Here is a 16205-nt window from a genome sequence, read left to right on the forward strand (position 1 = left end):
GTTGTTCCTTGACACTTTTTGCTACCGCTAGACCACGGTCCGCCTGGCAATGGGCGTCTTCCCAGATGTTGGTGTCACCGCTAGACCAAGGAGCCCTCTGATGGCCCTGTCCAGGCATAACAGAAGGCTCGCACTCCTGTCTTCTGGTCACTTCTCGCTACGTCCCCTCAGCTCCTATCTCTGTATGGCCTGGTTTTTCCTAGGTTATGATTGTAGAGTGAGGATTATTATAATATTGGAATAAAGAGTAATTGCTACAAATAATGATTAATGATATTCATATATAATCATATCTAAGATCTATATCTGGTATAACTATTCTTGTTTTATATTTTATTATACTGGAACAGCTCGTGTCCTCAGTCTCTTGCCTCAGCACCTGGGTGGTTTGCCACCCACAATTTTCCACATGCTTCTGGTCTGCGTTCTTTTTTTCTCCTTGCATCTTCTCATTCTCTGATCACCCCAACCTCTCTCTGTCTTCCCTACTCTGCCAGCCTTGATGGAGACAAGCCCTTGAGACCAGAACTCACCTTTTCCCCAGGTGTGATAATCTATTAGCAAGGTCAGTGTAATATGACTGACGGTGAAACGTGTATTTTTTTCTATTTATGCATTTGAGTACAGTACGTACAAGAAAAATAATGGTGTGCTCAAACTGTTAAATGTTGGAAAAGAAAGATACAACCCTTACCCATATTGTGTAAGTGCCCTGGAGTAGAAGAACCAGCAAGCTCAGACAAAGCACTTGACTGAGAAGACAGACCCTTTAAAGGAAACGGGTTCTAGGGACAAACTCTACGTGGGCCTGTTCTCTTGATAAGACCGTGAACTCTTTGAGAAAAGAGGCTACTTGTGAAAATAATGAGCCCCCTTCGGGGCAGGAGTTCCGGGGTTTGAACCTGCCTTCTTACATCTTGAGGGCTAAGTGAGTTCCCAAGGCCTCTGTTCAGTGGTTGCTCCGTCAGTGAGCTCAGGTCTGGTGAGTGGCAGGGTCTTCCACCCCCAACCCCACCGGGTGTCAGAGCAAGACACTGTCCCCCATGGAGCTGGAATGGGGTGGAGGAGCCCACATCTGGCACCCACGTGGCCTCCTTGTGACGGACCCACCCTTGCAATGTTGGAAAGGAAAGTTACAAGTTTCTTTTCCCAAGTTTCCCAGTAGGCTTTGTTCTGTTAGCTTCACGCCTTCGGTCATTAGCAGACATAAATAAACTTTAACCATTGTTTTTTATCTTTTTTTTTTTTTTTTGAGATGGAGTTTCACTCTTGTTGCCCAGGCTGGAGTACAATGGCACAATCTCGGCTCACCACAACCTCCGCCTCCCGGGTTCAAACGTTTCTCCTGCCTCAGCCTCCCAAGTAGATGCCAAGCCTCCCAAGTAGATACAGGCATGTGCCACCACGCCCAGCTAATTTTTTGTATTTTTAGTAGAGATGGGGTTTCTCCAGGTTGGTCAGGCTGATCTCGAATTCCCGACCTCAGATGATCCACCCGCCTCGGTCTCCCAAAGTGTTGGGATTCCAGGTGTGAGCCACCACGCCCGGCCAACAGTATTTTCTAATAACCAGTATATTTCCATATACATGTGTACATGGGTATTGTGATTGTTATCAGGAAAAAATATATTAAATGGCTGATAGGAGACCATGGGACGTATTTTCTTTCTGCTTTTAAAAATTATTCAGGCCGGGTGCGGTGGCTCATGCCTGTAATCCCAGCCCTTTGGGAGGCCAACGTGGACAGATCACCTGAGGTCAGGAGTTCGGGACAAGCCTGGCCAACATGGTGAAACCCTGTCTCTACTAAAAACACAAAAATTAGCCAGGTGTGGTGGCAGGCGCCTGTAATCCCAATTAGTGGGTTGGCTGAGGCAGGAGAATCACTTGAACCCAGGAGGTGGTGGTTGCAGTGAGCTGAGATCGTGCCACTGCACCCCAGCCCGGGTGACAGAGTGAGACTCCATCTCAAAAAAATAAAAAATAAAAAATAAAAAATAAATTATTCAATCTTCTTTATTTTTATTGTTTTAATGACTAAAGTTATTTTTAGTAGAAACAGGGTCTTGCTATGTTACCCACGCTAGTCTTGAACTCATTGGCTTAAGCAGTCTTCCTGCCTTAGCCTCCCAAAGTGCTGGGATTACAGGCATGCCTGGCTCCTCCACCTTCTTAAAATAAGCATTTGTTTTATAATTTTTTCCAAGTGTGTATCAAGATAAGGAAATCAGGAAGTGTAATATTCTTATAGAAATGGCCAAGGCCTCCCCCTTCACCTGTGCCTCAGATGCTACCCAATCCCGCCTTCTCTGTCCCTCCAGAAGGCACCCTTTGCTTAGGCCTCCCTCTCTTCCTGAACCACCTCTGGAAGTTTCTTATTGGCCTATGAATGCATTCTTATTTCTTCTTATCAAATAAAGCCTTCCCTTTAATTTATGGCACATTTATGCTTTGGAATCCACTCTCAGGAATAATCAGTATGTAGCATATTACACGTCAGGCGGCAACATTCTTTTTTTTTTTTTTTTTTTTTGAGGCAGGGTCCCGCTCTGTCATCCAGGCTAGAGTACGGTGGTGCAATCATAGTTCACTGCAGCCTCAACTTCCTGGGGTCAAGCCATCTTCCCACCTCAGTCTCCCAAGTAGCTGGAACCACATGTGTGCACTACCACACCCAGCTAGTTTTTTTTTGTAGAGACAGGGCCTTGCCTTGTTGCCCAGGCTGGTCTCCAAGTCCTGGGCTCAAGTGATGCTCCTGCCTTGGCCTTCCAAAGTGCTAGGATTACAGGTGTGAGCTACCATGCCTGGTCCAACATTCTTCATTTGGTAAATGGCTAAACTTAGTGCAGAGTATGAGCCTGATTTTGTTTAAAAAAAAAATGTGTGTGGGTGTGTATATGTATCTTTGAGTGTATATAAAAAGACTGAAAGAGGGCTGGGCACGGTGGCTCATGCCTGTAATCCCAGCACTTTGGGAGGCTGAGGGAGGCGGATCACTTAAGTCAGGAGTTTGAGACCAGACTGGGTGAAACCCCATCTCTACTAAAAAATGCAAAAATTAGCTGGGCATGGTGGCGGGCACCTGTAATCCCAGCAACCAGGGAGGCTGAGGCAGGAGAATCACTTGAACCCAGGAGGTGGAGGTTGCAGTGACCCGAGATGCAGTGAGACTCCACCTCAAAAAAAAAAAAAAAAAAAAAAAAAAAGACTAAGGATATATATCAAAACCCTTATGGCAGACTGTTATTTGTAATTGTATTTTATTTGTCGTGCTTATATGTGTTGCCCAAGTTTCTATGGTGAACGGTATGCATCACTTTCAGCATGAGAAAATAACTCCTAATAAACGTGATTCTTAAAGGACTCTCCCTGTGTACATCCTTTCCAAGGAGCCCCGATGTACCCTGCTTCCCTCACAGCCAAGCTCCTCTAGGACAGTCCTCCCTAGGGGGTTACGGCCTTGCTCCTTTGATGGCCCTGCCACAGCCCAGGGGCTCTTTCCTGGGCACTGTGGACCAGACCCTCCTAGAATCCCTCTCCTTCCTCAACCCCAGACTCTCAGGCACCCCATCTCTATCCTGGACACCGAGCTTGTCACCAAGGCCCAGCTGCAGCTGCTGTGCTGAGTGTGCACAGCCACCTCTGGGAAGGCTGTGCTCCCCCTGAGGACCTGGGTCCTCAGTCTCTGACTCTGGGGGGATTCGGGGCCACCTACCCACCTTCTGGCTCTACTCAACACCAGCAGCCCCTCAACATCAAGCCCTCCAGCTCACAGCACCTCAGCTCTGCAGCTCCAAAGCCACCCCAGCCTGGAACTGGGGACTCAGGGAGACTCCCTCGCTCCAACTCCAGCTGGTCCCAGCACTGCCTCTGCTGTCATCTCTGGAATCTGGTCTCTTGTCCCCAGCCCACTGCTGCCAGGGTCAGCCCTGGTACTTTCTACCTGGGTTGCTGCAACAGCTTCCCTCTGGGGGCCGCCTGTTTTCAGCCTTGGGCCCATCTGCCCTCCACGTTGCTGCTGGGCAAGCTGAGGCCCCACCACACCCCCAGCACCTTCCTGTGCCTCCAGGCCTTCCCTGCCAGTACACCCCCTCCAGCCCCTGAAGCCCTGTCAGCAGCTCAGAGCCTTTCCCCGGAGTCACCCTGCTTCCCGAGGGGACCCACGTTGCTGCTGGGCAAGCTGAGGCCCCGCCACAACCCCAGCGCCTTCCTCTGCCTCCAGACTCCCTCCTAGCACACCCTCTCCAGCTCCTGCAGTCCCACCAGCAGCTCAGAGCCTCTTCCCTGAGTCACCCTGCTTCCCGAGGGGACCTCCACCCAGGGAATGCCCTTCCAGGCTCCTCTCACTGATTCACCTTCACTCCTCAGAGGTCAGGTGCTGGCTGATAGAGGCAATGAGGTGAGCCCCTCACCTCAGGGCGCTCAGCCCCTGGGAAGGTGATGAAAAAGGGCACCCCAAGGGGTGTCCCAAACTAATAGGTGGATGACTCCCGTGGGAAGATCCAGTCTCCCCTCCCCATGGCCAATTAAATTTGGGGTGTTTTTCTTTACTTTTTTGAGGCAAGGTCTTGCTTTGTTGCTCAGGCTGGAGTGCAGTGGCACAATCACAGCTCACTGCAGCCTTGACCTCCTGGGCTCAAGCAATCCTCCTCCTTCAGCTTCCTGAGGAGGTTTTAATTAAATAAATTAAAAGCTAATTAAAAACATTTTTTTTTTTTTTTGGTAGAGATGGGGTCTCACTGTTTTCCAGGCTGATCTTGAACTCCTGGACTCAAGCAATCCTCTTGCTTCAGCCTCTGGAGTAGCTGGGACTACAGGTGCTTGCTACTATGCCCAGCTATTTTTTTTATTTTTTATTTTTATTTTGTAGTGATGGGGTGTGTTTCCTAGGCTGATCTTGAACTCCTGGGCTCAAGCAATCCTCCTGCCTCGGCCTCCCAAAGTGCTGAGATTATAGGTATGAGCCATTGCACTCAGCCTGGATTGTATTAAGGAAACTAGCTTAGTCACTAAACTGCACTTCTACTTCTGATTGGACAAGATTGGCACTTTGTAAACCAGGTTTTCTGGGATGCTGGTTTCCTTGAAGATGTTTCTAGCTGGTATTATCATATAGGATAGGCTGAGTTATGCTGCATTAACAAGCAAAACCCAAAAGGTTTATTTCTCATTCGTGCTGTATGTCCAGCAAATGTGGCTGGGCTTCATTTTAAGTCGTCCTCACTCCCAGACCTAGCCTGTAGGTGCCCCACCATTGGGGGATCGCTGATTGCCATGGCATGGTTAGAGAAATATGGTTCTTAAAGGTTCTCATCCAGAGTGGCACATCTCTCTTCTGCTCACAATGTGTTGACCAAAGCAAGTCACATGGATGGGAGCAGGGAGATGCAATCCTCTCTTGTGCCCAAAAGAGGAGCACAAGAAATACTGTTGAATAGCATTGCCAGAGGCCACAGAAAAATCTCCAAAACCAAAAATCTCTATGACCCAATAAATTCAAGAAATACTGGGTTAAAGAGAAGGAAACCAGTATATGCACTGTGAGACTTCTCAGTCTTTATTATATACATTGTAACCATCACAGACAGCCTTTAATATATACATCTTAACTATCACAGACAGCCTTCAGTATATTATATACATTATAACCATCACAGACAGCCTTCAATATATTATATACATTATAACCATCACAGACAGCCTTTAATATATACATTATAACTATCACAGCCTTTAATATATTATGTACATTGTAACTATCACAGCCTTTAATATATTATATACATTGTAACTACCACCGCCTTTAATATAGTATACCCATTGTAACTATCACAGCCTTTAATATACACATTGTTAACTACCACAGACAGCCTTTAATATATTATATACATTGTAACTATCACAGATAGCCTTTAATATATACATTGTAACTATCGCAGACAGCCCTTTGTTTGAGGGTAAAGCATGTGACTTTGTTTTCCTCCTGTTCCCTCTGCCATCCTCCAGGGCCTCACACACAATAGGCTCTCAAATATTGCAACCATCTTGCACTCTGCAGGGCAACCTCATGGCTTATCCTTTACAAGTGGCATACTCAGAAGAATAACGAGGAAGAAAGTGTAAGAAAAGAGGGCTGTTTGGGCAAAGAAAATCTGGTTGATTCGATGTTTACAGAGTGCCAGGCCCCATGCTTGATCTCATGAGGTCCTCAGACCTTATGCCTTAGGCTATCATTTCCATTTTACAGATAAGGAATTGAGGCTCAGGGAACTGAGAGTGAGGGAAGGGCAGGGGCCTGGCTGGTGCTGGGTTCTGTCTCTTTCCAGGCAAGAAGGGACATGTGGACTTGAATATTTAGCTCAGGGATGTTGGAGGCCTAGGGTGCTGCTATTTAAATGGAAAGGGTGTCAGGGTTTCTGGGAGGGAGTAAGGGGACAGAAGAAAAGATGCTTCTGTTATCAGAAGGGAGTGGCAACGTGACAGGATACTGAAGCTTCCTCTTTTCTTATTCTGTCTCGTTTCTTTCAATATACTTATCACAATGTGTGGCTGATATTTATTATGCCTTTTTCTTTTCTATTCTCTTTTCTTTTTTGGGGCAGGGGAGCTGTTTTGCCACCAAAACCTAAGCCCATGGCCGTCTTCTTCACCGATATGACTGGTTCTCATGCAAGCACCTAGATGGCCCTCGCCCATAATTACTGGCTGCAGTTGAGTGAATAGCGGTCATTATCTAGCGCCCACCGTGTGCCCGGCCCGGTGCCGGGAGCTTTGCTTTCCGTCTCTCACATTAGGCCCTTTTAATCCAACCCCCAAGAAGGAGACACGACCATCGTCTTCATTTTGACGATTTTGAGTGGGGGTTCCAATGACTTGAACGAAAGGAGCCAGGGCACCAATCCGGGTTTGTGTAGCAGATGCCGGTGAGACCCGACTACTGCAGCTCGGGGGTGGCCGGACCCGGGGTCTCCCCGCTGAGTCTCGGGGCTTCACCGGCGCGTGGGCACAAGCACAGCACCCTCGGGTCGGGGGTGCTAGGAGGGCTAAGAGCAGCAGGACTTGAGTGACACCCAACAGCTGGTCTGATCTCTTTCAGGCGCCAACGCCAGACGCCAGCCTCCCAGCGGACCCTCTCGCAGACCCACCTTCACCCCACGCGCCCTCCCCACACAGTCCACGCGCCAGCAGCTTCGCGGATGTCAGTGAACGCTCTTCGCTTGCGCAGTCAGAACGTCCTCCGCGGCCGTGTGAACATCCGGGTCACAGGCGCATAAGGACCAATGAGCGAAGGCATCGCGAGCCAGGGGGCGCGGAGAAGGCGGGGAATCATGGCCGCCCCCAGTGTTCCGCGTCCGGGGGTTTGTGGGAGTTGCCTTGACCTGCAGCTCCGCCACCGCGGACCCGCCTTCTGCCCTCAGCAGCAGACGCTCTGTCCCGCCCGGGCAGCTCTGCGAGGCAGCGGCTGGAGAGGGAACCATGGGGACTGTGCACGCCCGGGTAAGAGGCCCAGCGACCCGCGGGCTGCGAGGCCTCTGGGCCAGCAGGGCAGACGGGCGCCGCGGGGAGACGCTCTCGTGGCTGCGCCCAGGGTTCACCGGGAGAGAGGGTGCCAAGGGTGCCGGGCTGGGTGGAGGAGGCCGAAAAGAGGTCGCCTCGGGCCAGCGAGTCTTGCAGACCTTCGAGCAGGAACCTGATAGGAGGGACGAGACTTGGCTAAAGGTCACTCGGCGAGTCCGTGGCCCAAAGGACTTGCCAACTTTCTGTGATGTCTTAGACCGCAGTGAATGTGCTCTTTCTTTGCATGATTTTAAGTTTTCTCTCTTTACTGGTCACTTCCAGCCTTTCCCCGCTCAGCCGCTGCTGGAGCCATTGTAGGCTCCTAGAGCAACAAGAATCCTTTGAAGTCTTCTAACTCAAACCTATCTAGGGGTCCTCTTTTCTCCTGTCTACCGTGCAAAAGACGGAACCGCTCTCTGCCTTACTTCCTGTTTTAAAGTGGAGGTAGTAATAGTACCTACCTCGCCTGGCTTAAAAGAGAATTAAAAGACAATGCATGTGAATACTTGGGTGCCTGGCGCCTGACTAACTGTACTGGTTGCCAAACTCCTCTCGTTTATCCTAATCTTAAATAAGGGCCAGATAATGAGTTACTTCTCCAAGGTCACATAGTTACTGGTTCCAAATGGCCTAAAACCTCAGATTTCCTGAGTCTCAGCCCCAACACTACTTTTCTACTGCAACTTTGATTGCTTCACTTGACCTGCATAGACGTTTTCAGTAGTTCCCCATTAACTTCCAAAAAAATTTAGCACAGAAGTCGCAGCCTGACATCGATAATTGGACTTAACTTCCCTTTATATGTCTTTCATTCAGATCAAACACCGTTTCTCTTCTGACATCTCTTTGTGTAACTGTAATAGGTCTGTTGCTCAGTGTGCTCGATAAGTCAATACACTCAGACAGTGGGTTGCAGCAGAGAAAGAGTTTCAGTTGCAGGGCCGCTGAACGAGGAGATGGGAAAAGAGAGGAAACCTCAAATCCATCTCCTTCAGGAGTTTGGACCTCATGTTTTTGCTGAAGTGTGGAGATCCTTGATTGGTGGAAGAGTGAAGGGTGAAGTTATGGGACAGGGAGATGAGGAAACTTCTCATGCTGATTCCGTTCCTCTGTTGCGGGGAGGAGTCTTCAAACTGGTTGGCAGCATCAGTTTTGCTGGAATTCGAGATCTGAAAAACATCTAAAGCAACTCTTAAGCAAAAGCCTTATGATTCTAATTTTAGAAATCCTATCTGTAAAATCAATGGGGATGCAAATAGTATCTGTGACTTTTGGTTACTAGCAAGTAGGTCAGAGTGCAACCTGAGCTCTTCCTGCCATCTTGGCTCCTGTGGCGGCCTGCCGGGAGCAGGACTTCTGAAAGGAAATATGTCTGGAAGGCTGTGGTCCAAGGCCATTTTTGCTGGCTATAAGTGGAGTCTCCGGAACCAAAGGGAGCACACAGCTCTTCTTAAAATTGAAGGTGTTTATGCCCGAGATGAAACAGAATTCTATTTGGGCTCATGTATACAAAGCAAAGAACAACATAGTGACTCCTGGCGGCAAATCAAACAAAGCCAGAGTAATCTGGGGAAAGGTAACTCGGGCCCACAGAAACAATGGCATGATTCGTGCCAAATTCTGAAGCAATCTTCCTGCTAAGGCTGTTGGACACAGAATCCGAGTAATGCTGTACCCCTCAAGGATTTAAACTAATGAAAAGTCAATAAATCAATGTGGATTTGTGCTCTTGAAAAAAAAAAGGCAACTTGATTAATGGTTAATTGTAACTACATTTCTTTTGAGATGGAGTCTCACTGTGTTGCCCAGGCTGGAGTGCAATGGTGCAATCTCCACTCACTGCAACCTCCGCCTCCCAGGTTCAAGCGATTCTCCTGCCTCAGCCTCCCATGTAGCTGGGATTATAGGCGCACGCCACCACACCCAGCCAATTTTTGTATTTTTAGTAGAGACGGGGGTTTCATCATGTTGGCCAGGCTGGTCTTGAACTCCTGACCTCAAGTGATCATCCCGCCTCGGCCTCCCAAAGTGCTGAGATTACAGGTGTGAGCCACTGCGCCCAGCCAATTATAACTACATTTCTGTCCAGATGTCCAGAATAATTTTTTTTGTTGTTGTTGAGACAGAGTCTTGCTCTGTGCCCAGGCTGGAGTGCAGTGGCACGGTCTTGGCTCACTGCAAGCTCCACCTCCCAGATTCACACCATTCTCCTGCTTCAGCCTCCTGAATAGCTGGGACCACAGGCGCCTGCCACCATGTTCGGCTAATTTTTTGTATTAGTAGAGACGGGGTTTCACTGTTAGCTAGGATGGTCTCGATCTCCTGACCTTGTGATCCGCCTGCCTCGGCCTTCCAAAGTGCTGAGATTACAGGCATGAGTCACCACGCCTGGCCTTTGTCCAGAATTCTTGTTAGCCCTGTGAGGATGGCTTTATTTGGACCGCACTATTGCACTTCATTCCCCCTCCCATCATCCATCTTTAGCATCAAAATATTCCCATCTTTTAGAACTCCGTTCTGAAAGTTCTTTATCCCCTGCATTTGGATGGGCTTCGCCTTTCCGTGCCATTTCCTTTGGTGCCATTTACATTTTGGCTTGTTTTGGGTCTGTTTGCATTTTCGTCTTATCCTTTGATCCTAAATTTCTAGATGTAATGGTAGGAACTGCATCTTCTTGGCTTGCATCCCCTGTGGCATCTTGAACAAAGTAATCACTCATTATTTATTCAGCTCATATTTATTGATGGTCTGCTATGTGCCTAGCACTGTGATAGGTGCCAGGGATACAGGGAAAAAAGTATCTGCCTTTATGGAGCTCTTTTTTTTTTTTTTTTTTTTGAGGCGGAGTCTTTCTCTGTCACCCAGGCTGGAGTGCAGTGGCGCCATCTCGGCTCACTGCAACCTCTGCCTCCCGGGTTCAAGTGATTCTCCTGCCTCAGCCTCCCGAGTAGCTGGGACTACAGGCGTGTGCCATCACACCTGGCTAATTTTTGTATTTTTAGTAGAGACAGGGTTTTGCCATGTTGGCCAGGATGGTCTCAATCTCCTGACCTTGTGATCCACCCGCCTCAGCCTCCCAAAGTGCGGGGATTACAGGCATGAGCCATTGCGCCTAGCCTGTGGAGCTCTTTTTACATTAAAATTGCTGCTGCTTTGATGAGTGTTTTGAGAAAAAAACGTTTTCAGTTCTTTTATTTGACTTTTTCATCCCACTAGCCAGTGTCTTTCAGACTTTTTGATCAAGACTCAAACAGTAAGAAAACATTTGCCATTTACCACCTAGTACTCATGCTTATGTCAAACAAAATTTTGTGCAATAATACTTAATATGTGTTATGTATTGTTATATTTTCAGTTTTCTTTTTTTTTTTTTTTTTTGAGATGGAGTCTTGCTCTGTCTCCCAGGCTGGAGTGCAGTGGCGTGATCTTGGCTCACTGCAACTTCTGCCTCCTGGGTTCAAGCGATTCTCCTACCTCAGCCCCCTGAGTGGCTGGGATTACAGACAGGTGCCACCACACCCAGCTAACTTTTGTATTTTTACCTGAGATGGGGTTTCACCATGTTGTCCAGGCTGGTCCTGAACTCCTGATCTCAGGTGATCTGCCTGCCTCAGCCTCCTGAAGTGTTGGGATTACAGGTGTGAGCCACTGTGCCCAGCCTGTTGTTATATTTTCTCTTGGATTCTAGTCTATCTCACTTTAAAGATGCTGTTCATAACTCATTCATTTCATGTCCCATACCCGCTGCCTTGCACATGGTGCTCAATACACACTTATTGACTGACTGGTAGACCGATCTGCTTAAAGGTTAAAGGCTACATCCAAATATTTATTTTATTTTTTTATATTACACACACACACACACACACACACACACACACACACTTTTTAATAGAAACAGGGTCTCACTATGTTGCCCAGGCTGGTCTCAAACTCCTGGGCTCAAGTGATCCTCCTGCCTTGGCCTCTCAAAGTGCCAGTGCTAGGTACAGACATGAGCTACTGTGCCTAGCCCAAATATATATTTTAGCGCATTTTACCAAACACTCACCCCATGCCTATTATTCTAGGCATAGAATTTATGGGATGTACATTCTATGAGGGTGAGGTTCTTATAAGTGCTTGTCACACAGTAGGATCTTAATATTTGGTGAATGAATGAATATTAGTAACACAGTTACTAATATTTTGATTAAAGTATATTTACAGGGTATTAATCCTATAATGACTTTAGGGTTTAGAGATAATAGAAAAATAGATGTAAGATGTATGAATAGGTATAAGAGGTTGTAACTGTGAAACTTCAATGGTGTCATCTCTTGAAGTCTGGATTTTAGATTAAAGAATACGGATGGACCTGGAAGATCTTTGGTGAACCTTGTTTCATGCTTGGAGATTTTAGAAAGTGCAGTGGAATTTTTTCAGCGTAATGGGATATAAACCTTTGCCTAGATAAAGCATTTTTGCTAGGCATTCAGATTAAGATGAGTATGTGCACATAATCTTACTTTGTTCATATTTTTGAGAAATATAATAATTCCATTTTGAAAATACTGCACAACAAAATTGAAAGGATAGAGATGGGAAATTATCCATTCTTTGCCTAACATGATCTTCCTTACCCACAAGGACCCGGTCTTGGTCACTGCTGTGAACCCAGCACCCAGCACACAGTGGACTTTCAGTACTTATTTGTTAAATGAAAGAACGGAAAAGTCGTTCATTCCCCATTCCACAAATATTTATTGAGTACTTCCGAGGTGCCAGGGCAGATAAAAATAAGAAACAGGTCAGGCGCAGTGGTTCACGCCTGTAATCCCAGCACTCTGGGAGGCTGAGGTGGGTGGATCATCTGAGGTCAGGAGTTCAAGACCAGCCTGACCAACATGGCGAAACCCCGTCTCTACTAAAAATACAATAATTAGCCAGGTATAGTGGCACGCACCTGTAATCCCAGCTAGCTGGGAGGCTGAGACATGAGAATGGCTCGAACCCGGGAGGTGGAGGTTGCAGTGAGCCGAGATTGCGCCATTACACTCAAGCCTGGGCCACAGAGCAAGACTCTGTCTCAAAAGAAAAAAAGAAACAGAAGGGGTACCTGTGAAGGTCACAGACTTCAAGTATCAAGAGGTGTCCCTGTGAGAGAGGAACCGATTCTCCCTAAAGAAGCCAGGAATGGCTTGCAGGAGATGACATTAAGGTGGATCTTGAAGCTTCATAGGGGCAAGTTATTCTGGAAGAGGGGGCAAGGTATGCAAAAGCCTGAATGTGCGGGTGGAGCGGGTGGTGGAGATGGAAACTGGAGTAGCAGATGCAGGCCTTACGGCAGAGTTCCTTGTACCCTGCTAAGGAACCTAGATGGATGCTCTTCCTTTAGGTACTTCTGAGGATCATCAGAGGCTTTTAGGGAAGGGCCTGGAAAGGGAATATGATACTGGCAGGTCAGTTACCTTTCCGGGGAAAAGTGGATAGTAGCCCAGAGGCCCCACTGCTCCATATTTGCAGATGTTAAACACACACTTTAAAAGTGCCTAATTGTAGAGAATTCTTGGAGCAAGGAAATAGTCAGATATTGGTTCACATAGTTTTCTCCAAACTTGCTGATTTGTAAGAATCGCTTGGTGCCACACTAGACCTTCTGTGTCCATCTCTAAGAGGTGACTGGGAATCCTCGTGTGGTTAAGCATGTGTCCCAGAGACTTATGGTCAAGCAAACATAGGAACAAATAAGAATTGAATAAATAGTATATGTTAAATATGTAAGTATATATAATACAATGTATACATAAGTATATTTATTTTTATTTTTGAGATGGAGTCTTGCTCTGTCACCTAGGCTAGAGTGCAGTGGAGTGATCTTAGCTCACTGCAACCTCTGTCTCCTGGGTTCAAGCGATTCTCCTGCCTTACCCTTCCAAGTAGTTGGGACTACAGGCACACACCACCACACCTGGCTAAGTTTTGTATTTGTTTAGTAGAGATGGAGTTTCACCATGTTGGCCAGGCTGGTCTCAAACTACTGACCTAAAGTGATCTGACCTCCTTGGCCTCCCAAAGTTCTGGGATTACAGGTGTGAGTCATTGTGCCTGGCCTATTATTTTAAAATAGAGACGAGACTTCATTATGTTGCCTAGCATGATCTTGAACTCTTGGGCTCAAGCAATCCTCCCATCTGGGCCTCTCAGAGTGCTGGGATTACAGGTGTGACCCACCATACTTGACCTTTCTTTATGTTTTATTTTTACTATTATTACTATTTTTAGTAGAGATGAAGTCTCCTATATTGCCCAGGCTGGTCTCAAACTCCTAGGCTCAAGTGATTATGTGTGTGTGTGTGTGTCTGTGTGTGTGTGTGTATGTGATATTATGTTTATGTAGATGTTTCTCAACTATAACCCAATAAACTCATCGTAAGTTGAAATGTAAGTTGAAAATGCATCTAATACACATATCCGACAGAACATCATAGCTTAGCCTAGCCTACTTTAAACGTGCTCACGACACTTACATTAGCCTACAGTTGGGCAAAATCATCTAACACAAAGCCTATTTTAGAATAAAGTGTTGAAGATCTCATGTAGTTTCTTGAGTACTGTAAGTGAAAATCAGAATGGCTGTGTGGGTGCTCGGAGTGCAGTTCCTCCTGAACGCATATCACTTTGGCATCATTGTAAAGTCAAAAAACTGTAAGTTGAAGCATTGTAAGTCAGAGACTGTCTGTCTTAACTATATGTAGATATATATAGAGAGATAGATAAATAGATAGATACAATGTCTTCCTGGAAATATTAGATGAGACACAGCCTACAGAATGCTCATTCAGAAGTTGCTTTAATATTTTGAGGTAATATCAATTCAGATTATAGAAAGAGATGCTTTCGAGTCCATTTTGTGAGCATATGCAGTTCCCTTTAATGTGAATGAGACTTTCTGAAATGAAAAAACCTGTCAGGGTCTACATAAAATGTTTTCTTAGTAATCTGGTTTGTCAAGGTAGCTATCCTAACATGTGTACAATTTTAATTCTAAAAATTAGGATGCTTTCTGTAACAACAGGAGAGCAAATTATTTTCCTTTTTTCCCCTGATAAATGCCTTTGTGGCATTTTATTTTTAAATGATTTTTTAATTTCCATCGGGCCTCAGATGTCCAGAATTAGGTTGGTCATAATCCTTCATCCATGACATGTCATCATGGATTTGTGCGTGACCCTTTTGGTTAATTTTTTTTTTTTTTTTTTTTTTTTTTTTTTTTTAGAGATGGGGTCTTGCCGTGTTGTGCAGGCTAGTCTCAAGCTGCTAGCCTCAAGTGATCCTTTCTCCTTGGCCTCCCAGAGTGCTGGGATTACAGGCATGAGCCACCACACTCCCCCTGCCCTTCCCTGTTAATTAGTTTTTATATTTTATTTAGTGACCACCAGTGAGTTAACCACCAAGCCAAGAACTTGCTCATTAGCAATAGCTGACGGCACCTTTTTACTCCCTGGTCCCTATTCCTGCCCCTACCTCTACTTGAAGGGAACAACTACTGAATTTTCTGCAGCACCATCTAAAGACAAAACTCAAAGGTAAGTGTGTGTATATATGTGACAAAGTCATTTATCTGTGGTCGCTCCCTCCCTTTCAGAGTTTGGAGCCTCTTCCATCAAGTGGACCTGATTTTGGAGGATTAGGAGAAGAAGCTGAATTTGTTGAAGTTGAGCCTGAAGCTAAACAGGAAATTCTTGAAAACAAAGATGTGAGTTTTCTGTTGAAGGTCTTGATAGAATTGTTAGTGGAAACATTCACTTCCATACACCACTAGGGAGATGTAAAGGAATTAACCTGTTTCCGTGCCTTTATCAAAGAAGAGTTTGTAACCACCTACAACTAGAAAAACTGATGACTCTTAGAAAAACAGTTTCTATTTTTAAAGAAGTCGCTCTTCCTTGGTGATTTTTATGTGGGAGGTTTAGACAAACACACTTTTGTATTTATGACAAAAACCAAAAATATATCAAGGACAAACTCAAACTATACTTAAATTTATATTTCCATTCCCTACTCCCAGAAAAAAGACTGTGGGTCTCAAATGAAACTTTTCCTAAATTTATTACCTTTGAAATTTGAATATGCTTTTCCAGTTCTTGAAGAGTTTACTCTCTAGCGAGACTGAGAGGTGAGGGCCAGTTTGAGTCAGCATTTATTGTGCCACCTGAAATCCCTGCGGGGTCTTTAGAGGATGCATACAGTTTTGTTTTGTTTTTTTTATTTTTAAAATTTTTTTTGAGATGAAGTCTCACTCTGTCACCCAGGCTGGAGTGCAGCGGCACAATCTTGGCTCATTGCAACCTCTGTCTCTTGGGTTCAAGTGTTTCTCCTGCCTCAGCCTCCAAAGTAACTGGGACTATAGGCGTGCACCACCACACCTGGCTAATTTTTCTGCACATAGTTATTAAGTCAGGGGTCATGGCCAGCATTCATTCACAGGCCAGTGCTCAGCATGCATGTTAGGAAGGACAGAGGGGTTGTCTGTGGCCTGCTCGGGTTTAGGGCTCACCTGGTCCTGGGTCATCTGGCTGGAGAGGATTTGTAGCTCTTGTTCACAGAAAGTACATAACGAGCAAAGGGGAAGTCACAGTGACTGGTTTTTTGAAAAAATGTGAAAG

At 46.0% G+C, this 16205-nt stretch overlaps 1 protein-coding gene and 1 pseudogene across 1 annotated transcript in view, besides 8 other annotated features; both read left to right on the forward strand.

Moving 5' to 3' along the window:
* Positions 3571-3740: a silencer, noted in NCBI's record as "fragment chr22:44347552-44347721 (GRCh37/hg19 assembly coordinates)". NCBI's record gives its function as "represses an EF-1alpha promoter that drives an FKBP-Casp9 reporter gene in an ReSE screen in HepG2 liver carcinoma cells {active_cell/tissue: HepG2}" and the evidence as "EXISTENCE:reporter gene assay evidence [ECO:0000049][PMID:32094911]".
* Positions 6566-7318: an enhancer, noted in NCBI's record as "H3K27ac hESC enhancer chr22:44350547-44351299 (GRCh37/hg19 assembly coordinates)". NCBI's record gives its function as "activates a minimal SCP1, AML or CMV promoter by ChIP-STARR-seq in naive H9 embryonic stem cells {active_cell/tissue: H9 hESC(naive)}" and the evidence as "EXISTENCE:reporter gene assay evidence [ECO:0000049][PMID:30033119]".
* Positions 6566-8085: a biological region, named in NCBI's record as "H3K27ac hESC enhancers GRCh37_chr22:44350547-44351299 and GRCh37_chr22:44351300-44352051".
* Positions 6986-7035: an enhancer, noted in NCBI's record as "active region_19193". NCBI's record gives its function as "activates an Ori minimal core promoter by ATAC-STARR-seq in GM12878 lymphoblastoid cells {active_cell/tissue: GM12878}" and the evidence as "EXISTENCE:reporter gene assay evidence [ECO:0000049][PMID:35858748]".
* Positions 7116-7195: an enhancer, noted in NCBI's record as "active region_19194". NCBI's record gives its function as "activates an Ori minimal core promoter by ATAC-STARR-seq in GM12878 lymphoblastoid cells {active_cell/tissue: GM12878}" and the evidence as "EXISTENCE:reporter gene assay evidence [ECO:0000049][PMID:35858748]".
* Positions 7159-7433: a silencer, noted in NCBI's record as "fragment chr22:44351140-44351414 (GRCh37/hg19 assembly coordinates)". NCBI's record gives its function as "represses an EF-1alpha promoter that drives an FKBP-Casp9 reporter gene in an ReSE screen in HepG2 liver carcinoma cells {active_cell/tissue: HepG2}" and the evidence as "EXISTENCE:reporter gene assay evidence [ECO:0000049][PMID:32094911]".
* Positions 7319-8070: an enhancer, noted in NCBI's record as "H3K27ac hESC enhancer chr22:44351300-44352051 (GRCh37/hg19 assembly coordinates)". NCBI's record gives its function as "activates a minimal SCP1, AML or CMV promoter by ChIP-STARR-seq in naive H9 embryonic stem cells {active_cell/tissue: H9 hESC(naive)}" and the evidence as "EXISTENCE:reporter gene assay evidence [ECO:0000049][PMID:30033119]".
* Positions 7341-16205, forward strand: part of SAMM50 (SAMM50 sorting and assembly machinery component) — a 41088-nt gene continuing 32223 nt past the window's right edge. Inside the window, exons 1-2 of the mRNA NM_015380.5 lie at positions 7341-7497; positions 15185-15295. Coding sequence (NP_056195.3) covers positions 7477-7497; positions 15185-15295 — 132 coding nt within the window. The 5' untranslated portion in view covers positions 7341-7476. The remainder of the gene's footprint in view (positions 7498-15184; positions 15296-16205) is intronic.
* Positions 7876-8085: an enhancer, noted in NCBI's record as "active region_19195". NCBI's record gives its function as "activates an Ori minimal core promoter by ATAC-STARR-seq in GM12878 lymphoblastoid cells {active_cell/tissue: GM12878}" and the evidence as "EXISTENCE:reporter gene assay evidence [ECO:0000049][PMID:35858748]".
* On the forward strand, positions 8865-9291 carry RPL35AP36 (ribosomal protein L35a pseudogene 36; annotated as a pseudogene).

This window comes from Homo sapiens, chromosome 22 (genome assembly GCF_000001405.40).
Source record: "Homo sapiens chromosome 22, GRCh38.p14 Primary Assembly".
Classification (NCBI taxonomy): Eukaryota; Metazoa; Chordata; class Mammalia; order Primates; family Hominidae; genus Homo; species Homo sapiens.